Here is a 26,997-nt window from a genome sequence, read left to right as displayed (position 1 = left end):
GGGATTTCATAAATTTCTCCCTGAAGTTTAATAATTTGAGAAAACTACTCACAGAACTTGGCAAAACACTCTACCTATGTTTACCAGGTTACTATAAAGAATACAATTCAGGAAATGACAACTGGAAAAAAATGTATAGAGCACAGAAAAGTAAGTGGGAGAGAAAGACGGGGTGGGTAGTGCGTCCTGGTAAATAGTTACAATTAAGAAAACTCCCTAATGCTTTGTGTTCCGTAAGAACAGCTTACTGCAAAGAAAGATCCTTACCATTATGACTGAGATGATATGCCCACTTTTAGATATCACAGATTCACAGACTCCACATTCCCATTGTTCTTCACACACATTTAAATAATTTTGTCTTCAGGATTCAGAATAAAATATTTGTTAAGCAAACTTTGCTTAAGTTTCTCTCTTTCCCCCAGACCCCTGGACTCTGCCCCACCTCCAGTCTGAGCAAACATACAACCCCTCTTGATGTCCCTCCCAAGAACAGGCTGACTTCAGGGTGCAACATTCTCTAATCTTGCGTTGATTTTGCCACCCTCCATTCTGCCCTCCTCTCCCACCTTCTTTCTAATCTTGCTTGCTCCTCCATATGAATGACAGCCCTTTTCAGCCTAACTTTTGAGACGTTTGCAGATATTATATTTGGTGCTTCCCCCCATTGCAACACTACTTTATTTATTAATTTTATTTGAGACAGAGTCTCACTCTGTCACCTAGGCTGGAGTGCAGTGGTGTGATATCGGCTCACTGCAACTTCCGCCTCCCAGGTTCAAGCAATACTCCTGCCTCCGCCTCCCGAGTAGCTGGTATTACAGGTGCCCGCAACCACACCCAGCTAATTTTTGTATTCTTAGTAGAGACAGGGTTTCACCATGTTGACCAGGCTGGTCTTGAACTCCTGACCTCAAGTGATCCACCTGCCTTGGCCTCCCAAAGTGCTAAGATTACAGGTGTGGGACACCGTGCCCAGCCACAACATTACTTTAGAATAAAGTTACTTCTTACCTACATCTAAATTTATTTTATTTGACAATATCTAAAAACAGCCCCAAAACAATAACAATTACATTCTGACAGAGGACATCACAACCCTCCTCCCATCTCAACTCTCACTGCACCTGCCCGTGCATCCCCACAGCTGAGATGGTGACATATACTTTGACCCAGCTTACAGGCATTGTAATAACTCTTACACATAGGCACAGCCAAAGAGAGAGATTTTGACTCTCATAAATAGGACTAGGGCCATGGGTAAGGTCCTGGGTCTTCTACTCGTATGAAAATCACAGATGATTATGACACCCATGCATATTGAATAAACCCCGTGGGTGGTAGAGTAGAGAAAGTCTCATAACAGGGCCCAGAACACAGGTGAGATTGAGAGTCCTGTATGAACACACAGCCAAAAGTAGAAATTGTCACATGCCCAAGTGTACACAAGTCACAATTGAGGTTCTGAATCTCACACCCAGGGGCAGTCAAGAGTTGGAATTGAGACTCTCATATACGGATCCAGTCCACAGGTGAAGTGGGGACTCTCCAACCAGGATTCAGCACAGCACTGAGGTTGTGACTCCCCTACTGGGACACAGCTTGGAGAAGAAATTGGGGCTCTCATGAGAGGATGCAATCCACTGTTGAGATTGTGACTCATGTACTTGGACCTAAGTCTCAGGAATGGTTGAATCTTACACCCGGAGTGGGGAAATGTGTGGAATTGGGAGTCTCATTCCTGGGCCTTCCTTCAAGTTTAATTGTGACACGCACTTCTACCTAGAACCTTAGTAATTTGATAGTCCTTCTGGGCTCAACACACAGATATCTTATGAGTTATACCTGGGCCAAGTACCAAGGTACTGTGACTATATTGCCTGGCTACTTCCCTGAAAGGTATTGTAATGTATCTCTTTACTGAGCACCTAGGTGAAGTAAATCTTCTCCTGCCTGGACCCTGCCCACAGGTGAAGTTACGACATATCACTAAGCCTAGTACTTAATGATGTGACTGTCCTGTCTTGTTTGTGCCCTGCCCTGAAGAAGCACTGTGACATTACTGGTCTAAGTAAAAAGGTAATTCAAGTCTTCTGCCTGGGACATGTGCACAGGGGGGATTGTAAATATCTCTTGGCTTATCAACATGATGATGTGATTCTCCTCTCTTGTCTGGAACCTTTTTCTAGTTGGGATCACAACATATTGCTGGGCCCAGCACTGGGTGATGTTATTCTTCTCCCAGGGCCCAGCCCACAAATGGCATTGTGGCGTCTCTCTGGGCCTAGGTGATGTGACTCTGCTTTTCTGCCTGGACACTTTCCACAAAAGGAATTGTGACACGTAGCTGGACCCAGCTCCCTGGTGATGTAACTGTCCTGTCTTGGCCCTGTGCAAAGGGGGCATTGTGATATATTGCTTGGCCAAGCAGCTAGGTGATATGACTCTCCTGAATAGGCCCTGCACTGAAAGAGGATTTTCACTCATTGCTGGGCCAGTCATATAGGTGATGTGTCTCTCCTCTGTTGCCTGGACCCTGCCCAAGTAAGAATTGTGGCATATCACTTACCCAGCACCCAGGTGATAGGACTCTCATGTCTGCTTCCTGATGACAGGTGAAATTGCGACATATACATGGTCACAGCTCACAGGTGAGATGATGACTCTCATACCTGGATCCAGCTAAGAGAACAGATTTTGACTCTGATATCTAGGCTTAGGGCAACAGATAAGGTCCTGGGTCTCCTACTTAAATAAAGGTCATAGTGTATTATGATATCAAGGCATATTGTATAAAGCCCTCAAATGATACAGTGTCATAACAGGACCCAGAACGAAGGTGAGATTGTGACTCTCATATGCACATCCATCTGATAGAATTGTCACCCTCACACATAGACAGTTCTCACTGGTGAGGTCCTAAATCTCACACTCAAATGCAATCCAGACTTGGAATTGTGACTGTCATATATAGATGCAGCTACAGGTGAGATAGTGACTCATTTTTTAACCCAGCTCACAGAAACAGCAATGAAACTCATACCTGGACCCGGTCAATAGCAGAAATTCACAATCCGGGACATTTTCCTGCTAAAGGTATAAGAGTCAACACCTCTTGTGGGTTTGAGTTCAACTATGCAAGTCAGTCACAACAGTGGACTAAATCAATGCACGAGAGCCCAAATCTCACCAACAGACTGTGTTTTGATAGGGGAAGCACAGCCCCCAGGTGTTCTAAATCCTGGACTTGGTGTTATCATCTCATCTGTCGATTGGATTGATGCATGAGAGTCACAATTCCAACTTGATTGCCTCTTGGTGAGCGATTCAGAACCTCAACAGTGGGTTCTGTTAATGTGGAAGGCTGATAATCCTTACTTTTATTTGAGTTTGCATACAACAGCCACAGTTTTACCACAGTTTTAGCTGGGCTCTATTTTGGCACTCTTTGTAGCATTTGAGGGCTTCATTCAACGTGCATGCAAGTTGTAATATTCCGTGACCATCCTACAAGTTGAAGACACAGGACCTTAGTTTTTGCCCTAAGACTACAAAGGTCAAAATATCTTCAGGTGTGAGTCATCATTCCACCTGTAAGCTGTGCCCATGTGTAGTTCCCAATTCCAACTGTGGAGAGAGACCAGGAACAAAGTTTGGATCTCCTGGGTGCTGGCCAAAGATATGTCACAATTGCCACTTTGGGCAGGGTCAAAAGTCTCCCCTGAGTGCAGGGGCAATTCAGGAGAGTCATATCACCTAGGTACTGGGCTCAGCAATATGTCACAATGCCCCTTGTGGGCAGGGCCAAGGCAGGACTGTTACATTACCTGGAAGCTGGACCCAGTGATATGTCACAATGTCTCTTGGGGGCAGGGTTCAGGCAGGAAAGAAGAGTCACATCACGTAGGTGATGGGCCTAGAGATATTTCACAATGCCTTCTGTAATTAGAACCCAGAAAAAAGAGTTATATCATTTGGGTTAAAGGTCTTGTGATATGTCACAATCCCAACTAAGGGCAGGACCCAGGCAGAAAAGGAGAGTCACTTCCTTTGATGATTGGTCCAGAGATACATTACAATTTCCCCTGAGGACAGCTCTCATGCAGAAGAGGAACTGAATATACTGCATGGCCCAGGTATATGTGACAATCTCAACTGTACACTGGGCCCAAGCAACAGAGTAAAATTAATCAGAGGCTGGGAAAATGTATATGTCACAATTACACCTGCAGAAAGGTTTAAAGATAAGATTTAAAACCCCACAAATGTCCTGGCTTCACTTATGACAGTCAACATATCTTGCGAGATATGGTTAAGTATTTGACTCACAACCTCAACAGTGGACTGGCTGTGTGCATGAGAGCCTGAACCCCACTTACAGTGTCCCAGTAGCAGAGCCACAGCCTCACAGGGCTGCTGAATCTTGGTGTGGGAATCACCATGCTACCTGTGGACTGCGTTCACATATGAGAGTCATAATTCCAACTTTGACTGCCTCTGAGTGTGAGATTGAGGACGTTGTAAGGAGGCTGTGTTCAGGTGGGAGGGTGACAATTCATACTGTTAGCCAGGTGTGCATATGAGAGTCACAATCTCACCTGTTTGCTGCTCCCTGTTATGACACTGTCTGTACCACCTGAGGGTTTTATATGGCACATGTGAGATTCACAATCTGCTTTGAGACATTTGTGCTTGCCCAGGCATTTGTTAACAATCCCAAATGTAGGATCATGCCCATTGCCCTAAGCCCAAGCATGAGAGTCAACATCTCTCCTATTTTTGGTTCCAGGTAGGAGAGTCATTTTTGTTCCTGTGATCTGGTTACAGAAATTGGTCAACATCCCTCCTGTGGCTCAATCCACATGTGACCGACATGATCCAACTGTGGACTGTATCTGTCAGTGAGATTCAGGAACTATTTTGCTCTCTCCCTATATAAAGGTGACAATTTTAACAGTCAGCTGAGTGTGCATCCAATAGTCACAACCTCAGTGTTGTGCTGGGTCTTATTATGACACTCTCTGTACCATCTGAGGGCTTTACACAACATGCATGTGTGTGGTAATCACCTGTGATTTTTCTTAAAGTAGAAAACCCAGAACTGTATTTTTTGGCCTAAGCCCAGCTATGAAAGTCAATACCTCTCCTACTGGCTGGGTCCGGGTATAAGAGTCATCGCTGCGCCTGTAGGCTGAGTCCAGCTATGACTCACCATCTGACCTTTGGACAGATCCACATTGGATGGTCAATATTCTAACTGTGTATCGTGTCCTCATATGAGAGTCAAGACTTCACCAATAAGTTTTGTCAATGTGTGAGGAAGACAATTTTAATTGTCAACTAAGTGTGCCTATAAGATTCACAATTTTACCTCGGTGCTGGACTCTGTTTTAACACTCTTTTTATCACTCAAAGACTTTATAGAATATACATGAGTGTGATATATTGTGTGATCTTTCTACATGTAGAAGACCCAGATCATTGCCTGTTTTTCTAAGCCTAGCTAGAAGAGTTAAAATGTCTTCTACTGGCTGGGTTCACATATGTGAGTCTTCATTATACCTGTGAGCTGGGCCTAATGTGTGACCATCCCACCTGTGGGCAGAGACTAGGAGGGAGAATCACATCAACTAGGTGCTGGGCCAGCAATATGTCAATATTTTTACTATGGGCAGGGTCCTGTCAATAAAAGTCACATCTCCTGGGTGCTAGGAAAAGCAATATGTCACAATCCACCCTGTAAACACGTTCCAGGTAGAAGACGGTCACACCATCTAGGTGATGGGCCTAGTGATATGTAACCATTCCTCCTGCAAACAGATTCAAGGCAAAAAAAGAGTCACATAACATAGGTGATGGTCCTAAAGATATCTCGCAGTAACCCCTGCGGACTGGCCCAGGCAGAAAGGGAGAGTCACATCACCTAGGTGATTGGCCCAGAGATATGTCACAATACCCTGGGAGGGCAGAGCCCAAGCAGGAAAGTCACATTATCTAGGTGCTCAACCTAAGAATATTTCACAATTTAAACTGCAGGCCGGGCCCAGGCAAAAGAGAAAAATCAGTCAGATACTGAGTGAAACTATATGACACAATCACACCTGTGAAAAGGTTCAGAGATAAAATTTACAGTCTCTCACATGCCCCAGCTTCAGGATCAGAGTCAATACTTCCTTTGAGTTGCACCGAAAATGCCTATTGTGGCACCTCCTCTGTTTTTTCAAAGGAGTTCCAGGCTGTTAGAGCTTGAATATCCACAATTAATTAAGCCAACTTTAGGGCCAGGTGTGGTGGCTCACGCCTGTAATCGTAGCACTTTGGGAGTCCGAGGAGGGTGGATCACCTGAGGTCAGGAGTTCAAGACCAACCTGACCAACATAGTGAAACCCCACTCTTTTTTTTCTTTTTTAGTATTTAGTAAAAATACAAAAAATACAAATAGCAGCCAGGTGTAGTGGTGGATGCCTGTAATCCCAGCTACTCGGAAGGCTGTGGCAGGAGAATTTCTTGGTCTTGCGAGGCAGAGTTGTAGTGAGCAAAGATTGTGCCGCTGCATTCCATCTCAAAAAATAATACAATTAAGCTGACTTTTAACCATGATGCTCTTTTTAAAAAAAATTATTTAATTCTCTTACTACTTGACTTTAGTCATGTAAAGTGCCAATATTTCTGACTTTTGAACTTCACTACCATAACCTCCCAAGTGAAACCAATGAGCCTTTCTTTTTTTTGAGACAGTGTCTCCCTCTGTCACCCAGGCTGGAGTGCAGCGGCCAAACTCGGCTCACTGCAACCTCCATCTCCTGAAACCAATAAGCTTTAATTAAGGTTATGAAGGTAACGACAAGTGTACAAGGTATTTTCAAAAAGGTGGCAAGCAGTTTTACAAATCTGGAATCTTCAAAGGTAGCTCAGAAAAAGGAAAATCCAAGATGGTTGGTGGAGGGGAAGAGAATCAACAAATATTCACACAGATATCAAATCAGAAAGGACTCATTTCCTAAGCCAGAAATTGAACCCTGAACCCGGGCTGCCACTGTGAGACAGCAAAGCCCAGCTACTGAGCTACAGCATGGAGCAGTCTCCATTGGAGTCTCCCAGAAGAAGCCTCCAGCAGCCAATTTTGAGCTTGCAAAGGTTTTTAACTGCTCAAGATCATTTTTAGAGTTAAGTATAACATAAATTTCAAAATTTATGTATGCCAGATGGTAGAAACCAAGAGAAAATACTGCCACATGGCTACAAGGTCAAGCTCCCAAGAACATAAAACAAGAGGGAAATTTCATCCATTATTTTCTTGCTGTTGTTGTTGTTTGTTTCAGGGACTTCTTTTTTGTTTCTTTGGGGGTATTTTTTTTTTGAGATGGAGTCTTGCTCTGTCTCCCAGGCTGGAGTGCAGTAGCGTGAACTCAGCTCACTGCAACCTCTGCCTCCCAGGTTCAAGCAATTCTCCCTGCCTCAGCCTCCTGAGTAGCTGAAACTGCAAGTGTCTGCCACCACCCTGGCTAATTTTTGTATTTTTTGTAGAGATGAGGTTTCGCCATGTTGGCCGGGCTGGTCTTCAACTCCTGACCTCAGGTGATCCGCCCACCTCGGCCTCCCAAAATGCTGAGATTACAGGCGTGAGTCACCATGCCTGGCCTGTTTCAGGGACTTCTGACTGGAAGTTTCAACATGTGATCTCTGCGCAAGATGGTGGCCCAGAGTAACAGAAAAGATAGGAAAGGAAAGAGAGAGAGAGAGAGAGAGAGAGAGAGAGAGAGAGAGAGATTGAGAGAGAGATTGCCTATGGCAGGGCAGGAAAGGTGAGGAGCTCAGGAAAGCCAGAGAAAGACCCAAGCATTGCACTGAATCAAAAGTTTAGGTGGCTGCTTGTTGGTTGTGAAAGAATCTTTTTTGCAGTCCCATCTGCTCTCAAGTTTCCCACTTTAGGGAGGAAAAATCTCCACATGTTCCATGATTCTGTACTCACCTAATTCTGTCAGTCACAGCCACTAGCAAAAAGTGCAAGGCAAATTAATACAAAGACAAGTCCTGGTTCAGTGGCTCATGCCTGTAATCCCAGCACTTTGGGAGGCTGAGGCAGGTGGATCAGCTGAGGTCAGGAGTTCAAGACCAGCCTGGCCAACATGGTGAAACCCCATCTCTACTAAAAATACAAAAATTAGCCAGGTGTGGTGGTGGGCGCCTGTAATCCCAGCTACTTGGGAAGCTGAGGAAGGAGAATCGGTTGAACCTGGGAGGTGGAGGTTGCAGTGAGCCAAGATCTCACTGCTGCACTCCAGCCTGAGCGACAAGAGTGAGACTCTATCTCAAAACAAACAAAAAAACAAACAAACAAACACAAAGACAGCAATGGTTAACATTCCATAATGCCCAATCTAATTTTAGCCGAGAGGGACTTTACTGAGAGGGGCCTCTAACCCCCTAAATTTTAGGAAAGACTCTAACTTTTCTAAGTTGCACCTCAAACACAAGTTTTTCAAGTGTTCTTGCCTTTTATTAAAAGAGACCTTTTATCTTATCTGTCTTAGGAGACACTCTAACGCCACTAAATTGGGCTACTAACCCGATCCCATTCTTTACCCAGGTATGCCACCACTTACAAAAAGTTAGCCAATTGGTAATTCAGTCTATTTCCTTTGAGTTGTGGGTTTCCTTGGTATCATCCTTTTGTAATTCACTGAAAAGAAGCTTCCAGAAATGGCCCCAATTCAGAAACGAAGATTGGGTTCTTGGATCTCGTACAAGAAATAATTTAGAGCCTTATGCCTATAACCCTGGCTTATGCCTGTAACCCCGGCAATTTGGGAGGCAGAGGCGGGAGGATCACTTGAGGTCAGGAGTTCGAGATCAGCCTGGCCAACATGGTGAAACCCCATCTCTACTAAAAATAAAAAAATTAGCCGGGCATGGTGGCGCATGCCTGTAATCCCAGCTACTCCAGAGGCTGAGGCAGGAGAATCTCTTGAACTCAGGAGGCAGATGTTGTAGTGAGCCGAGATGGCGCCACTGCACTCCAGCCTGGGTGACAGAGCAGGATGCTGTCTCAAAGACAAAAAAAAAAAAAAAAAAAAAGATAGAAGAAAGAATTTTGGGTGAGTCTGCAGTGCAAAGCAAAAGCAAATTTATTAGGAAAGTAGAGGAATAAAAGAATAGCTACTCTCTAGGCAGAGCAGCAATGTGGGCCACTCAACTAAGGATATTTAACAGTTATTTCTTGATTATATGCTAAGCAAGGGGTGGATTATTCATGAGTTTTACAAGAAAGGCATGGGCAATTTCCAGAACTGGGTGTTTCTCTTCTTTTTAGACCATGTAAGGTAACTCTCTGATGTTGCCATGGCATTCGTTAACTGTCATGGCGCTGGTGGGAATGTCTTTCACGTGCTAATGCATTATAATTAGCGTGTAATGATTCCTGAGGACAATCAGAGGTCCCTTTCATTCCCACCTTGGTTTTGGTGGATTTTTGTCGCTTCTTTACTGCAAACTGTTTTATCAGCAAGGTCTTTGTAAAATGGATCTCGTGCCAATCTTCTATTTATCCTGTGACTTAGAAAGCCAGGCCTCATGGAAATGCAGTCCTGTAGGTTTCAGCCCCATTTTACCCAGCACCTATTCCAGATGCAGTTTCTCTGCTTCAGATGCCTCTGACATAGCTACAGGGTGCTGGAATGTGGCTAGTGTGAACTGCAATGTGCTAGAAAGGTAAAATACAAGATTACATTCAAAGATTTAGCTTCAAAAATGTATATGCTTTATTAACCATTACATGCTAATCACATATTAAAATAATAATAATTTGGATATATTGGGCTGATTAAGTTGTTGCAATCAATTCCACCTGTTATTCCACCTGTTTCTTTCTTTTTTATTTTGAGACAGAGTCCCTCTGTTGCCAGGCTGGGGTGCTGTGGTGTGATCTCGGGTCACTGCAACCTCTGCCTCTTGGGTTCAAGCAATTCTCCTGTCTCAGCCTCCCTAGTAGCTGAGATTGCAGATGCCTGTCACCACGCCCAGCTAATTTTTCTACTTTTGGTAGAGCAGGGGTTTCATCATGTAAGCCAGGCTGGTCTCGAACTCCTGACTTCAGATGGTTCACCACCTCGGCCTCTCAAAGTGCTGGGATTACAGGCGTGAGCCACTGCGCCCAGCTCCACCTTTTTCTTTTTACTTTTTAACATTTGGCTACTAGAAAATTCAAAATTTACATGTGGCTTATATTTTACTGCAGAGGATTTCCTCCCTTTTGAAATCTCAGGCTGCCCGCATGTATTAGTCCATTTTCACACTGCTACAAACAAATAGCTCAGACTGAGTCATTTTTTTTTTTAAGTAAATTGAATCATAGTCCTACATGGCTGCAGAATCCTTGGGAAACTTAAATTCATGACCATGACAGAAGGTGAAGGGAAAGCAAGGCACATCTTACATGGTGGAAAAAGAGAAAGAACCGGGGAGGACGTGCCACATTTTTAAACTGTCAGGTGTCTTGAGAGCTCCCTTACTACCACCAGAACAGCATGAGGATAATCCACACCAATGATCCAATCACCTCCTGCCCGGTCCCTGCCCTGACAAACGGGAATTACAATTTTTTTTTCTTTCAGAGGAAGTCTCTCTGTGTCACCCAGGCTGGAGTGCAATGGCGCCATCTCGGCTCACTGCAACCTCCACCCCCTGGGTTCAAGCAATTCTCCTGCCTCAGTCTCCCGAGTAGCCGGGACTACAGGCACACTGCCACGCCAGGCTAATTTTTGTATTTTTAGTAGAGACGGGGTTTCACGATATTTGCCAGGCCTGTCTCGAACTCCTGAACTAGTGACCTGCCGGCCTCGGCCTCCCAAAGTGCTGGGATTATAGGTGTGAGCCACTGCACACGGACGAGAATTACAATTTGAGATTAGATTTGGGTGGAGCCAGAAAGACACACCATGTCACTGCAAAGGATCCGCAGCAAGGAAGGTCATAAAATCCTACATTTTAAAATAATTGTCATTATTTCAATTTATGAATAAATATTATATATCATTTATAAATGCATATGACATTATACACAAGGTTAAATGCAAATATCCTCTGAAGTTGGCCTGGCTCCGATCGAGGAAGAAGCCCTGCCTGTGAAGGCTGCAGCCTAGGCTGTTATTTTTGCTTCACTCAGCCCAGTGTCTGATCAAATATTCCCTCACTCAGGGCATGAAGGGTGGGGCCTGAAACCTTATCCAATCAGGAGCCGTGGACTAGAAACTGTCCAATCAGGCTTGCAGCTGGAAAGAACAGGCTACTTCCGTAATTTTGCGGGTCCTTTGTGTTTCTCTGCGTCCAGAGCTGCAGTTCTCCTCTTCACTGCTCTGTGTCCTCTGCTCCTAGAGGCCAAGCCTATGTGTCCTTGTGTCCTGCAGGTATCTGCAGATTTATGGCTAAAAGACCAGGACCCCCTGGAAGCCGAGAAATGGTGAGTGCTGGGTCTGTCATCGTGAGAGAGGGGTGGGGGCTGATTGGAACCGGCAGAAAGTGGCTGTAGCAGGTCCCAGACTTTCTTGCAGTCAGTTCCAGGGCCTGCCGACCCAAATCCTCTTTGGCCCAGCTCGGCTCTCGTCCCCTCCAGCCGCAAGATGGTGCCTGGGCCAGCACCTGGCACCCTGGGGTTTTTGTCTTTTTCCTCTGCAGTGGCTTTACCCTGGACTGGAGGCCTCTCTGGTTTGCTCTGCACTCCCAGCGCCTCATCTCACCCAGATTGTACAGGGATAGGAAAGTCATCAGGGGAGAATCCTGACTCAGGGTGCAAGATTCATGAGTGGAAAGAGCTGTGGTCCTGGGGTCCTTAGTTCCTCATTTTTCCTTTTAGAGATGTATGGGAGTCACTGTAAAAATGAGAATCTGATCAAAGTGTGATTCAAGAATCATAGAGCACCCAGCTATGGTTTGTGGGTTGTGATCCATGGGAGAGACTTGAAGAAAAGTCTGTTATAAGTTGCATGATGAAGCAAACCAGATTCAATAATTGGTTTGGTACAGTTATGTAGTTTCCTTATTTGTGAGATCCAGGTGAAAATTTCTTGGTTATGTCATCAGAGATTAATTGGCAGTCTGTGGTTGCCTAGGCCAAATATTTTCTTCAAGATAGTAATTTACAAGAAATGTTTTTTTTTTGTTTGTTTGTTTGTTTTTTATTTTTGAGAGGGAGTCTCGCTCTGTCCTCCAGGCTGGAGTGCAGTGGTGCGATCTCACCTCATTACAACCTCTGCCTCCCAGGTTCAAGTAATTGTCCTGCCTTAGCCTCCCGAGTGGCTGGAATTACAGGTGTGTGCCACCAGGCCCAACTAATTTTTGTATTTTTAGTAGAGACAGGATTTCACCATGTTGGCCAGGTAGGTCTCCAACTTTTGGCCTCAGGTGATCTGCCTGCCTCAGCCTCCCAATGGGCTGGGGTTACAGGTGTGAGCCACCGCACCCAGCTGATTTTTTTTTTTACCTTTTATTTTAGGTTCAGGGGTACATGTGCAGGTTTGTTGTATAGGTAAAATCATATCATGAAGTTTTTGTGTACAGATTATGTTATCACTCAAGTACTAAGTATAGTACCCAACAGATTTGTTTTCTGATTTTCTTCATCCTCTGATCCTCTACCCTGAACAGACCTCTACCCTCAGTGTCTGTTGTTCTCTTATTTGTGTCCACGTGTTCTCATTATTTTGCTCCCACTTATAAGTGACAACATACAGTTTTTTATTTTCTGTTCCAGCACTAGTTTTCTAAAAATAATGATCTCCAGTTCAATCGACATTGCTGCAAAGGACATGATGTTGTTCTTTCTTATAGTGCATCATATTTCGTGGTGTTTACATACGACGTTTTCTTTATCCAGTCTACCATTGAAGACATACAGGATTATTTCTTGTTTTTGCTATTGTGAATCGTGCTGTAATAAACATATGCGTGCATGTGTCTTCATGGTAGAAAAACTTACATTCACTGGGTATATTCCCAATTGCGGGATTGGGAATGGTAATTCTGTTTTCAGGTTTTTGTCAAAATGCCAAACTGCTTTTCTCAATGGTTAAATAAATTTATACTCTCACCAGCAGCATATAAGCATTCAATTTCTCCACAACCTCACAAGCATCTGTTTTTGTTTTTGTTTTTACTTTTTATTCTAATTGTTTTTATTTGAATTATTTCTTTTTTTCCCATTAGTCTAGTGTTTTATCTATCTTATTATGTTTACATAGAATTAACTTCTGGTTCCTTTGAATTTTTTTTTTTTTAAGACAGAGTTTCACTCTTACACCCAGGCTGGAGTGCAGTGGTGCGGTCTCAGCTCACTGCAACCTCTGCCTTCCAGTTTCAAGCAATTCTCCTGCCTCAGCCTTTGGAGTAGCTGGGATTACAGGCATGTGCCACCACAGCCAGCTAATTTTTGTGTTTTTAGTAGAGATTGGCTTTCACTATGTTGGCTAGGCTGGTCTCAAACCCCTGAACTCGTGATCTTCCCGCCCTGGCCTCCCAAAGTGCTGGGATTACAGGAGCAAGCCACAGCACATGCGTGGCCCATTGAACTTTTTATAGTTATTTATGTCTCAAACTTCTTCATTTCAGCTCTGATTTTGGTTATTTCTTGACTTTTGTGAGCTCTGAAGTTGGTTTGCTCTTACTTTTGAAATTCTTTTAATTGTAACATTAGATTTTTAAATTGAGATCTTTCTAACTTTTTGATGTGGATGTTTAGTGATATACATTTTGTCCTTAACACTGCCTTAGCTCTAACCCTGAGATTCTGGTATGTTGTATTTCGGTTGTAATTAGTTTCAAAAATTTTATTTCTGCCTTAATTTCATTATTTCCAAAATAGCCATTTGGAAGCTGATTATTCCATTTTTATGTAATTGCATCCTTTCACATGTTTTTTTGTATTGAATTATTCTATACATTTTCTTTTTAAAATTAATGAGAAAGATAAGAAGAAATAAAAATGCTGTGCTCTTAATCCAAATGCTAAAAATTATTCAGCACTTAGTACCAACTCCCAGGGTGCTATGAAAATTAAATCACAAAATGTGTTATTCCCAGCGCAGTGTTCTGTGACATGCTCCTGAGCACACAATACCTGCTTAATAAACATTTTATTAGTACATGTGTACAGGTTTCCCAGGTGCAGATTCACTCAGACATTACTGTCTTCTGTTGTCCCTGTAAACTTAAAAAAGCCAACAAAAATATAGCATTTCAGGGTGGAAATTGGTTGTTTTTATTTGTAGCAGTAGTATTAGTATTGTGACAAATGTGGTGTGTGTAAGGGACTCTGCTGTGCCTGCTTTCTCTTGCTAATGCTAATAATGTGTCTGCGAAAGCACAATCAGCATTTACAGGGGACTTGTAAAAGCCCATTCCTGGACCCTTTTGGATCCTGCAGAATCACGTTGCATAGAGCGGGGCCAAGATTACCAAGTGATTTATAAACTTGAGGGGTTCAAGATACTTTCAGGAGAGTTTAGTTCAACCTTTGCATCATAGGAAGGCTGCACTGCCTGCCCTGTTTCAGTTTGGTAGGAAGAGGTCAGTGCGGTTCATGCTCCCATTACTGTAAAGAAAATTGTTGGTTTCTGATAGGGGAGGGCAGGGACAAAGAAACTTATATTTTAATAGTTATGGAGAAGCTTGTTGTTCTCTCATTGCTCTTAAATCTTTTCAGTTATAAACAACAAAAATGGGTGAATGTTTTCTGCAAGTCTCGGTCTTTCTGCCGTGGGTGTGTGTGGTGGTAGCAGGTGAATAGGTTGTGCTTTAAAGGCATATTCTCAAGATGCAGGTTTGATATGTCCAGAGCATCTCATCTGAAAATACATTTCAGAGAAAGAGGAGGAAAAGAAACAAATCACTTTTTCTCAGGTGAGCATGTCTCAGATCAAGCGCAGTGTCCACTGCTGCCTTTTGGAATGCCTTGTGTTCAGATCTTGCAAATTTTTACTTCTCTACTTGTGCTGTTGATCCCTAATGAGTTTGTTTCAACTATTTTTTGTGATTTTTATGATAGTCAAGGGGTTCTGAAAAAAATATTTGTTTTCTATATGCCATAGCATTCTATACATTTCTCTTCATCTTGGATTCTTGTATATCATGCAGAATTCTTAGAACAAATTTATGACCTACGATATTTAAAATGTTCCCATTGTAGCTGTTGAACATTAGAAGGTGTGGATACTCAAGATTTCTATTGGGGAAATACCGTTGTCTTTGGAGATTAGTGAAAAGTGAAACATGTTCTATTGAGGTTTCATCTGTGTGCTCTATTAGTTCCATGCAGGACAGTGTTTAGAAAATGCTCATTTAAACAGGGTGGCATTTATTACACAGAAAGTTCTGAAAAAACTGTTAGGAGATACTTGCTTTCCAGGGTGCTAAGGAAAGACTACTTAAAATTACTGATAAAAATTACAGAACAGGGAAGTTATCTGCACCTTCAACTTTGCATAAAACTGATGTTTCTTTTTGATTAAATTTAGGCCAGACACAATGGCTTTGGCTTGTAATCCCAGCACATTGGGAGGCCGAGGCAGGTGGATCACGTGAGGTCAGGAGTTCAAGGCCAGCCTGACCAACATGGTGGAACAACATCTCTACTAAAAAAAAATACAAAAATTAGCCAGGCATGGTGCATGCACCTGTAATCCCAGCTACTTGGGAGGTTGAGGCAGGAGAATTGCTTGAACTCAGGAAGTTGAGGTTGCAGTGAGATTAGATGGTACCACTGCACTCCAGCCTGGGTGACACAGCGAGACTCTGTCTCAAAAAAAAAAAAAAAATATATATATATATAATAAAATTAAATGTAGATTATAATTTACTTTTCTGAGAGGAGAGAAATGCCACAGCAGTGATGTTGTGTTGTGTGTGCATCAGCACATAATAAAAATGTGTCCTAATAAAGTTGATAACAATTTTATTCACTTGGTTCAAGATCTCTATGACATTTTTTTCCACTCTAGAGTTAATTCTTATTCTCTTAATTGTTAAGGACACTTAGGAGATTTACTAGCTGAAGTGCATAAACCATCACATTTAATCTGGAAGCTGTCCTTTCCTTTTAGATGACTTTTGCTTATATTTGTCTTTTAAAAATGAAGGCTCTTATCTTTATTTACAGGTGAGAGAAACTGGGAAAAACCCAGACTCTGCCATTTACTGGATATTTGACAAAATATTCTTACTAGGCTAGAAACATTGGTGAGCTTGCTAAAAATTCAGAAATTCAGACTTCCTCGGAAATCTCCTGAAACAAAATCTCACAAGATCTTTAGTTTATTGCACATACTAAGACTTGAGAGGTATCTTCCAACTCATCATGACTGTTCTATCTGAGAAATATACACAACTTATTCTATATGATGTAAATATAGCACTCAAAAATAGACATGTCCGGCCAGGCGCAGTGGCTCATGCCTGCCATCCCAGCACTTTGGGAGGCTGAGGTGGGTGGATCACCTGAGGTGAGGAGTGCAAGACCTGCCAGGTCCACATGGAGAAACCCCATCTCTACTAAAAATACAAAAATTAGCCAGTCATGGTGGCTCATGCCTGTAGTCCCAGCTACCCAGGAGGCTGAGGCAGGAGAATCGATTGAACCCTGGAGGTGGAGGTTGCACTGAGCCAAGATCATACCACTGCACTCCAGCCTGGGCAACAGAGTGAGACTCGGTCTCAAAAAAAAAAAAAAGAAAAAAAAAAGAAAAACAGAAAAGAAAAAGACATGTCCATGTTGATGCCCTTAATTTTATAATGTATCATCCAGAAAAGTATCAAATCTACAGCAGTATTGTGGATCTTATGCTATCCTCTTTTCTCAGAGTTAGAGAATACTTCAGTGTTAAAAATTATCTTATTGAATAATTTTAGTCACTCTTGTAAGTGAGAACCACTTCTTTTTACTCTCTTTTTTAACTTGAGTCAAATAAAAATCTCTGCCTATGGCCGTGTGGTAAGTGCTTGTGTGTTCATGAGTGGTTTTGTTTGTTTGTTTTCCAGGGACTGTTGACATTCAGAGACATAGCTATAGAATTCTCTCTGGAGGAATGGCAATGCCTGGATTGTGCTCAGCGGAATTTATATAGAGATGTGATGTTAGAGAACTACAGAAACCTGGTCTCCCTGGGTGAGGATAACTTCAGTACATAATTCCTAATATATTGCTTTTCTCTTTTCTAAGATGTTTTTGGTAATTTCTGCTTTGCATGAATGAATTTTAGATCTCCAATTTTAAGAAAATCTTGGGGATTCATTGCTGTAGAACAAATTCTTCAAGATGTTTTATCTTGACCAGAACTTTTGCCTTTCCTGAGCTTATGTATCTTTTGCTCTAGGTTAGTGGGAATTCCAAAAATGCCATGGCATAAAAGATCGTTGCCCACACATTAGAATTCAGTTGCTGCCACCAATTTTTGATTCAGTAGTACTGAGTAGTGAAATTAAGGACCTACAAATTTAAAATATTTTCTGAATATTTAGAAAGTTCTATTATGAATCAATATTAATCTTCTAGAATTTTCTATTATATCCTCTAAGCATAATACTAATTTGGTAATTAAAGAATTCAGCATGATCTATGTTACTTTTTTTTCTTAATAAAACAGGTATTGCTGTCTCTAAGCCAGACTTGATCACCTGTCTGGAGCAAAATAAAGAGTCCCAGAATATAAAGAGAAATGAGATGGTAGCCAAACACCCAGGTAGGTGAGAGCGAATGAAGCAGATGAGACAGATGAGAGGTACACAAATCAAGGAGGCAGCCAGTCCTTAAAATGTGGTCTGGGGAGCTGTGCTTTGATGAAAAGAGTTTCTGAGAAGCTCAAGTCATTTTTTTCTTTTGCTCTCACATAGGGACACCTCCTGCCTCATGCTGTTAAAGTCTCTAAGGATTCCACTTCTGCTTCAATAATCTTTCTTCAAGTTCACAGTGTGAGCCAAAGTTTTCTTTAAAGGTTATCAGGGACTGCGCAAACTGACTGCTTTGCCATTGCTTTTGGGGACACACTAATATCTGCATATTTTTGAAAAACTCTAAACCATTAAAATTTTTTTTTGCATCATGTCTAAAATGTGTGAGAATAGTAGTTTCTCTTTCATTGGTGGTCATCCATTTTTCTGCACATGCCATTCTGTTTTTATTACTATAGCCTTGAAATATATTTTAAAGTTTTTACAAATTTTTTACAAATTTTTTAATTTTTTATATATATTTATTTATTTAGAGGCTTGGTTATCCCCCCACTTGCTGTGGGGGGATATGCAAGCAGGGTACCTTTTATGTCTTCATTTTACTGTGTTGCATATTTTAGATATAGACTCATAAATGGTATTGCTGTATTATATAATAATTTCATTTTAGATTATTTAAAGAACGCTTATGATGTTTTTATGATGGCTGTATCTTTTTTCTCATAAAAAACAACTTACATAGGTTTCAATTTCTTTACATCATCAACAGTTGGTGTTTTAAAAAAATTTATAGTGGCCATCCTAATTGATGTAAGGTGATTTTGTTTTGTATTGTGATTATGTTTTGCATTTTTCTATAAATTATTAATTTTGTGCAACCTTTCAAATGCTTCTTCCCATTTGTATATCTTTTTTATTAAAATTTAGTTTAATCATTTTTCCATTTCTTTTTTTTTGAGACGGAGTTTCACTCTTGTTTCCCAGGCAACAAGGGCAATGGTGCGATTTCAGCTCACAGCAACCTCTGCCTCCTGGATTCAAATGATTCTCCTGCCTCAGCCTCCTGAGTAGCTGGGATCAGGGATGTGCCACCACACCCAGCTAATTTTGTATTTATAGTAGTGGTGGGTTTCACCATGTTGGTCAGGCTGGTCTTGAATTCCTGACCTCAGGTGATCTGCCCACCTCAGCCTCCCAAAGTTCTGGGATCACACGTGTGAGCCACCGCACCTGGCTCATTTGTCCATTTCTAAATCAAGTAATTCAATTATCGTTGTCTAGTTCTAGGAGTAGTTTGTGTATTCTCAATATTAAGTCTTATCACATGTGATTTTCAAATATTGTCACCGATTTCTTGGGAGACACTGTCACTGTATTAAATGTTTTATTTGATTGCAGAAATTTTGAAGTTTAGCCCAATTAAATTTTTCTGTTCTCCTCTTTGTTGCACATGCATTTGATGGCATATCTAAGAAAATGTGCCAAGACCAATGTCATGTCTTTGCACTATACTTTTTTTCTAAGAGTTTCATTAGGTTTTTCTTAGTCTAAGTACTTTGTTTAAAATATTTTTTGTATGTGATGCAATTAAACCATTCAACTTCATTTTTTCAATGTAGATGTCCAGTTTTCAACATTAGCTGTTGAAGGGATTATATTTTCTCCATTGTCTGCTCATGGCAAACTTGAGGCAGATTATTTGGTCATACACAGAAGAGTTCATTGCTGGGCTTTCTATTTTGTTCTATCATGTCTTTATCTGTCTTTTTGTGAGTACCACATAGTTATTGTTATTGCAGCTTTTTATTATGTTTTGAAATTATGAAGTATAGTGCCTCTGTGTTTTTCATGTGTGTTTCTCTAGATTTGGTTCATAATAAAATTTAAAAATTTTAAACAATATTTCAGGAATAAATATACTTTTGGAATTTTGATACAGATTATATTAAATTTGTTCACCACTGTGGGTTATACTGACATCTTAACAAATTAAGTCATCACTTAAATATGTTGGCCCTTGAGAAAAAATATTAAATTAATTTAAATTATTTGACCCTGTGCAAGAATACAGTGAAGAGTGTGTTTATTTCCATGTATTTTTGATTTGCCAGTATTACTTTTTTTCTTTTTAGTTTTATTCAGTTTGGGTTAGAAAACATATACTGTATGATTTTGCTCTTCTTATTTTTTTTTTGACTCAGATTTTCTCACTCTGTTTCCCAGACTGTAGTGCAGTAGCACAATCTTGGCTCACTGCAGCCTCAACCTCTTGGACTCAAGTAATCCTTTCACCTTGGCCTACTGAGCGGCTGGCACTAGAGGCATACCCCACAATGCTCAGCTAATTTTGAATTATTTGTAGAGACAGGGTCTCACTGTGTTCCCAAGGCTAGTATCAAACTTCTTGCCCCAAGTGATTCTTCCACCTTGGCCTCCCAAACTGCTGGGATTACACCTGTGAGCCACTGCACCTGGCTGATCTTTTGAAATTTACCAAGACTTATGTGTTCTAACAGAACGCACCAGGTGCAAATAAGAATATTGTGTATCCACTTGCTTTTGACTGGAGAGTTCTGTACATGTCTGTTTAGCCTATTTGGTTTGTGATATGGTGTAGATGCCCTCCAAATCGCATGTTGAAATGTAATCTCCACTGTTGGATTGGGGCCTAATGAGAGCTGTTTGCATCATGGAGACAAATCCCCTCATGAATGACTTGGCACAATCATAGAGTTCTCACTCTACTAATTCACATGAGAGCTGGTTGCTTAAAGGAACCTGGCTCCTCCACCTCACACTCACGTCGTCTTTCACCATGTGACATGTTTGGTTCTTCTTTGCCTTCCACTATAATTGTAAGCTTCTTCATATCCTCACCAGAAGCAGATGCTGGCATATACTTCTTGTACAGTCTACTGAACTGTGAATCAAAAAAATCTTTTTCTTTATGAATTACCCAGTCTGAGGTTATTTTCTATGGCAATGCAAAATAAATTCATACACAATATAATATTCTTCAGGTTTTCAGTTTTTTTAATTGATTTTTTATTTAAATTTTTTATTATTGAAAAGGAGGTCTTAATGTTTATAATTTTGTGTTGCTATTTTATTTCTTGCTTCATTTCTGTCAATATTTGCTTTATATGTTTTGAAGCCCTGATGTTATATATGCATATACATATAGATAGACATAATAATTATAGATTCCTAGTAAATGGACTCATTTTACCATTATATAATATCAATCTTTGTCTCATTCTAGTAATCGACTCATTTGCTTTCATGTGTCTATAAAGACTTTTTCTTTGTGCTACATTGGAGATTCTGTAAAACATCTTAAATGTTACAACAGTATATTTTAAACTGGTAAAAAAATGACTTCAGTTGCATAGAAAAATTTGTCCTCATTATATCTACCCCATACTTCTTATTGATGTTGCTAATTATATCTTTTTATGTTTTATGATTTTTATGCTTATATTTTTCAAATTTTAAAGAATAACTAAAAGTATTTTCTGCACCATCACAATAATGCCACAGAATTTTACTTTTTGTATATGCATATGTTTTTCAGAAAGTTATGTATTTTCATATGATTACATATATTTTTCATCATGTTATTTTAAGTGGAAAGACCTCTTTTCAGCATTTTATTTAGGGCACATACAATGATTATGTGCCAGCATTTATTCATTCTGGAAGAGTTTTATTTTTCTTTATGTTGTAGTACATTTTTCTGGTTTTATTATTCTCACCATGAAAATTTTTTTCAGCCTTTGACCATTTTACACAGTTCTTTTCTGACCTGCAAGGTTTCTGTTTACAAATTCACTGGCTGTCTCAGAGGACTATGCTTATAAATAATACCTCACTTTTATCTTGCAGCTCCCAAGATTATCTTCTGGTTTGTGACTTTTGAAACTTTGCTTAAATTTGTGTTGCGGATCTTTTTGTGTATATCCTAGTTTGTTTGTTTAGCTTCTTCATTTTTTACATACTTTTTTCTTACTTTAAAATTTTTTCAGTTATTCTTTTTTACCTCCACCTTGTTTATTTTTATTATTGCAAGTTTTGTTGGTATTCTTATTTTTCTTATTTTATTTGGGTGTCTGGTTTTCCATTTTTCTCATTGAGCATAATATGGATTATCTTAAATTTTAAAAATCAAGATCTACATCTTTGTTTTTATAGTTGCTTTTTCAAAATTTTTGATTTTTTTGATTGGACCATGTTATCCTCATGTTTTATATACATTGTAATCTTTGTTTGAGATTTAGACACTAACATAAAACTACCTTTCATGATCTTTATAATGCAGCTCCTTCCTGTCATAGCATGACACCAATTGTCTTTGGTAGAGATTCTGGGATTCTCACAAACATGTTCTCAGGATGTGTTTTGTCTGCAATTTGTATTTATTTTTCAATTAAAAGACTTCTTCATATTTCTTCTTAGTGGTCAGTAACTACGTTCTACACCTATCTTCTGCCCATCATACTGCAGTCTTTCTGCAGTTGTAACATTCACTTTTGAGCTCAGAAGACTTAAAGCTGTTATTAAAGGCACTATGTTCTTCTACTGGGCATGAGGAAGGGCTGTGTTGGGTAAATGTAGCAGACTTTTCTTTTCTCTCTATATGGCTCTGGACATCATGCTCACATGGTGCACACACTTACTTTATTTATAAATTTCCAACAAAGGTATTTTGATCACTATGATTTTGTTACATTTATACATCTATGAAGGAATTATGGCCTGTGGTATTTTGATATGGCATTTTGCTAATGTACCTTGTGTAATTTTATATATTTCATGTGTAGAATATATTTATATGAGTCCAGAAAGTGGAGTAACTTGTGCTTTTTGTGTCTTTCAGTTACGCGTTCCCATTTCACCCAAGACCTTCAGCCAGAGCAGGGCATCAAAGATTCACTCCAAAAAGTAATACCAAGAACATATGGAAAATGTGGACATGAGAAATTACAATTTAAAAAATGCTGTAAAAGTGTGGGTGAATATGAGGTGCACAAGGGAGGTTATAGTGAAGTTAACCAATGTTTGTCAACTACCCAAAACAAAATATTTCAGACTCATAAATATGTCAAAGTCTTTGGTAAATTTTCAAATTCCAATAGAGATAAAACAAGATATACTGGAAATAAACATTTCAAATGTAACAAATATGGCAAATCATTTTGCATGCTTTCACACCTAAATCAACATCAGGTAATTCATACTAGGGAGAAGTCCTACAAATGCAAAGAATGTGGCAAATCCTTTAACTGCTCCTCAAACCATACTACACATAAAATAATTCATACTGGAGAGAAACCATATAGATGTGAGGAATGTGGCAAAGCCTTTAGCTGGTCTGCAAACCTTACTAGACATAAGAGAACTCATACTGGAGAGAAACCCTACACGTGTGAAGAATGTGGCCAAGCCTTTAGGCGCTCCTCAGCACTTACTAACCACAAGAGAATTCATACTGGAGAGAGACCCTACAAATGTGAAGAATGTGGCAAAGCCTTTAGCGTATCCTCAACCCTCACTGACCACAAGAGAATTCATACTGGAGAGAAACCCTGCAGGTGTGAGGAATGTGGCAAAGCCTTTAGCTGGTCCTCAAACCTTACTAGACATAAGAGAATTCATACTAGAGAGAAACCCTATGCCTGTGAAGAATGTGGCCAAGCCTTTAGCTTATCCTCGAACCTTATGAGACATAGGAGAATTCATACTGGAGAGAAACCCTACACATGTGAAGAATGTGGCCAAGACTTTAGGCGCTCCTCAGCACTTACTATCCACAAGAGAATTCATACTGGAGAGAGACCCTACAAATGTGAAGAGTGTGGCAAAGTCTTTAGCTTATCCTCAACCCTCACTGACCACAAGAGAATTCATACTGGAGAGAGACCCTACAAATGTGAAGAATGTGGCAAAGCCTTTAGCTTATCCTCAACCCTCACTGACCACAAGAGAATTCATACTGGAGAGAGACCCTACACATGTGAAGAATGTGGCAAAGCCTTTAATTGCTCCTCAACCCTTATGCAACATAAGAGAATTCATACTGGAGAGAAACCCTACAAATGTGAAGAATGTGAGCAAGCTTTTAAGTGGCATTCAAGTCTTGCTAAACATAAGATAATTCACACTGGAGAGAAACCCTACAAATGTGAATAATATGGCAAAGTCCACCCTCAGGCCTTATAATACATAAAATAATTTACACTGGAAAAAAACACTACAAATGTAGAGAATGTGGCCAAGCCTTTAACCAGTTCCAAACCTTAATTGAATGTAAGAGAATTCATATTGGACAGAAATTTTATAAATGTAAAAAAATGTAACAAAGCCTTTAACCAACCCTCAAACCTTAATAAACCTAAGAGAATTTATTTTAAAAAAATTTTTTTGAGTTGGAGTCTCCCTGTGTCACCCAGGCTGGAGTGCAGTGTCATGATCTCAGCTCACTGTAACCTCTGCCTTCCGGGTTCAAGCGATTCTCCTGCCTCAGCCTCCTGAGTAGCTGGGATTACAGGCGTGTGCCACCACACTGGCTGATTTGTGTATTTTTAGTAGAGATAGAGTTTCACCATGTTGGCCAGGATGGTCTTGAACTCCTGACCTCAGGTGATCCACCTTTGTCAGCCTCCCAAAGCCTAAGAGAACTTATATTACAGAGACCCTAGAAACATAAAAAAAGTGACAAAACCTTTAAGCACATCTCAGGCCTTACATATTATCTGATCATTCATTCTAGAGAGAAACTCTACAAAAGCAAAGAATGTGGTAAAGCTGTTAACTAGTCTTGAACCCTTATTATACATAAGAGAATTAATACTGAAGAGAAACCCTACAATAAGGAATATGGTAATGTCTTTAAAAAGTCCTCAAACCTGAATAAATGTAAGATAATTGATATTGGAGAGAAACCCTGCAATTGCAGAAAAAAATGTGGCAAACCCTTTAACTGGTTCTCCATGCTTACTCACTAAAAAATTTTATACTGGAGAGAAACTCTGCTTACATAAAAATGTGACAGAGCATTTAAGCACACCTCAAACTTTTCTAAAAAAGAGAAATCATACTGGTGAGAAACTCTAGAAATGTGTTAAATGTGGCAAGGACTTTAAATGGTAGTCACACGTTATGGTAGGTAAGATAGTTTATACTGAAGAAGACTCCTACAAATATGAAGAATGTGGCAAAACTTTTAACAAATTCTCACACCTTATGGTACAGGAAAGCATTTATACTAGAGAAAAATTGTACAAAGAATGTGAAAAACCATTAATATCAGGTCACATCTTACTCAATATCAGAAAGTTTATACTTAATAAAGGGATTATAGGTCAGGTGTGTTGGCTCATGCCTATAATTCCAGCACTTTGGGAGACCAAGGTCGGTGGATCATGAGGTCAGGAGTTCAAGACCAGCCTGGCCAACATGGTGAAACTCCATCTCTACTAAAAATAGAAAAACTAGCTGGGTGTGGTGGCGTGCACTTGTAATCCCAGCTACTTGGCAGGCAGAGGTAGGAGAATTGCTTGAACCGGGGAGGCAGAGGTTGCAGTGAGCTGAGATAGAGCCACTACACTACAGCCTGGGTGACAGAGCAAGACTCTGTCTCAAAAAAAAAATTATAAATGTGATTACTGTAAAAAGACCTTTTGGAAAATATAGGCCTTTAAAGTAAAGACCAGTTATTCTGAAGACAAACATACAAACTTAAAGAGGATTGCTGTACCTTTACTTCCATTACAGATTTTATTGTACACATTTTATATTAAAGGAAAAATTTGAAGATCTGAGAAGATGCTCAAACTTTGTTGAACATTAGAGAATTTATATTGGAGAGAAAGTCTAAACATGTAATGAATGTGAAAAACATTTTTTCAAAACCTCCAGCTTAGAAAACACCAGTTTGTACTAAATATTTTTGCAGAACCAGTAAATGGGGAAAACATATTAAATCAAAAATTAAGTCTATATAAGCATCTGAGGGGTCACAGTAGAAAGAATGAAGGCACTGAAACTTCATACATTACACTAAATCAGAGGGTTGAGTGTAAAAGAGATCCAAAGCTAACACCATATACATGTTAAAGAAGTAGTTTTTTTCGAGATTCATAATTACCTTCGAGGTATGCTTCTTTCTTCTATAAAAAAATAGTTTCTGAACAGCAAATAATAATGTAACTCAAGTCTCAGATTCCGTCATGTTGACTCTTCCCATTGTTTGTGAAAGTATTTGATCAGTTGTTTCATCAGAGATAGGAGAGATTGTTTTTTATCAATTGTACGTTTATGTAATAAAATGCAATAAATTTAAAAATTTTTTAAAGATTATGTGTCAACTTAATTTTTTCATTAAACAAAGTTGTTTTTAATGTGTTAAAACTATTGTGCTTTGAATGAAGTATTAATTTGTCATCAGATTTAATGGGTCCCATTTTACTTAAGGTTCTAAGTAAAAGATGGTAACAATGTACTATTTGTTAATGTAGGGGAATGACATCTCTAGTAATCTCTTTTTTGCCAGTGTTGGTTGGTTGGTTGGTTGTTTGTTTTGAAATGGAGTCTTGCTCTGTTGCTTAGGCTGGAGTGCAGTGGCATGATGTCGGCTCACTGCAAACTTTACCTCCTGGGTCCAAGCGATTCTCCTGCCTTCAGTCTGCCAAGTAGCAGGGACTACATGCACATTCCACCACGCCTGGCTAATTTTTGTATTTTTAGTAGAGATGAGGTTTCACCATGTTGGCCAGGCTGGTCTTTAACTCCTGATCTCAGGTGATCCACCCGCCTCAGTGCCCCAAATTGGTGGGGTTACAAGCGTGGGTCACCATGCCTGTCCTGCCAGTGGTTTAAACTGCAAATAAGTAGAATAATTTTTTTCTCATAGATCAAATTTGTATTCTTTTTTACCCTATTTAGATTTCTAAAAAAATTTTGTGGGTGGATAGTGTGCATACACACTTATGGCATATATGAGATATTTTAACACAGGCATACATTAGTTAATTATCACAGCAGCGTATATGAGGTATTCCTCAACTCGAGCACGTATTTATCCTTTGTATTACAAGCTCATTATACAGTTTTATTTTAATATGTACAATTGAATTATTACTAACCATAGGGTCATTTTATGGTCATAAAAATTGCATGAGTATAATTAATATACATTTCTGAGTCTTGATTAAATATTTTTTAAAAATTGTTTTGTATATTTTTGGTACTTGTGGCCTCTCTGCTGACAAACAAAAACAGACT

At 39.9% G+C, this 26,997-nt stretch overlaps 1 protein-coding gene across 3 annotated transcripts; it reads left to right on the top strand.

The window, feature by feature from the left end:
• Window positions 1–3,879: 3,879 nt before the first annotated feature.
• Window positions 3,880–26,068, top strand: ZNF479 (zinc finger protein 479). 3 transcript variants are annotated; one of them, NM_033273.3, is made up of 5 exons: window positions 3,880–4,136; window positions 11,406–11,458; window positions 17,026–17,152; window positions 17,631–17,726; window positions 22,592–26,068. In NM_033273.3, the coding sequence occupies exons 2-5, from the start codon at window positions 11,420–11,422 to the stop codon at window positions 23,902–23,904; spliced, it is 1,575 nt and encodes a 524-aa protein (NP_150376.1). In that variant the 5' UTR covers window positions 3,880–4,136; window positions 11,406–11,419; the 3' UTR covers window positions 23,905–26,068. The 3 variants fall into 3 exon arrangements, with proteins under 3 accessions (NP_150376.1, XP_011513906.2, NP_001357058.1); XM_011515604.4 differs by lacking the exon at window positions 22,592–26,068 and adding an exon at window positions 4,790–4,941 and having other exon boundaries at window positions 17,631–17,734; NM_001370129.2 differs by lacking the exon at window positions 3,880–4,136 and having other exon boundaries at window positions 11,308–11,458.
• Window positions 26,069–26,997: the final 929 nt, after the last annotated feature.

Source organism: Homo sapiens, chromosome 7, assembly GCF_000001405.40.
Source record: "Homo sapiens chromosome 7, GRCh38.p14 Primary Assembly".
NCBI classification, from domain to species: Eukaryota; Metazoa; Chordata; class Mammalia; order Primates; family Hominidae; genus Homo; species Homo sapiens.
Note: the sequence above shows the minus strand (reverse complement) of the source record. Positions and strands in the feature narration are given on the sequence as shown.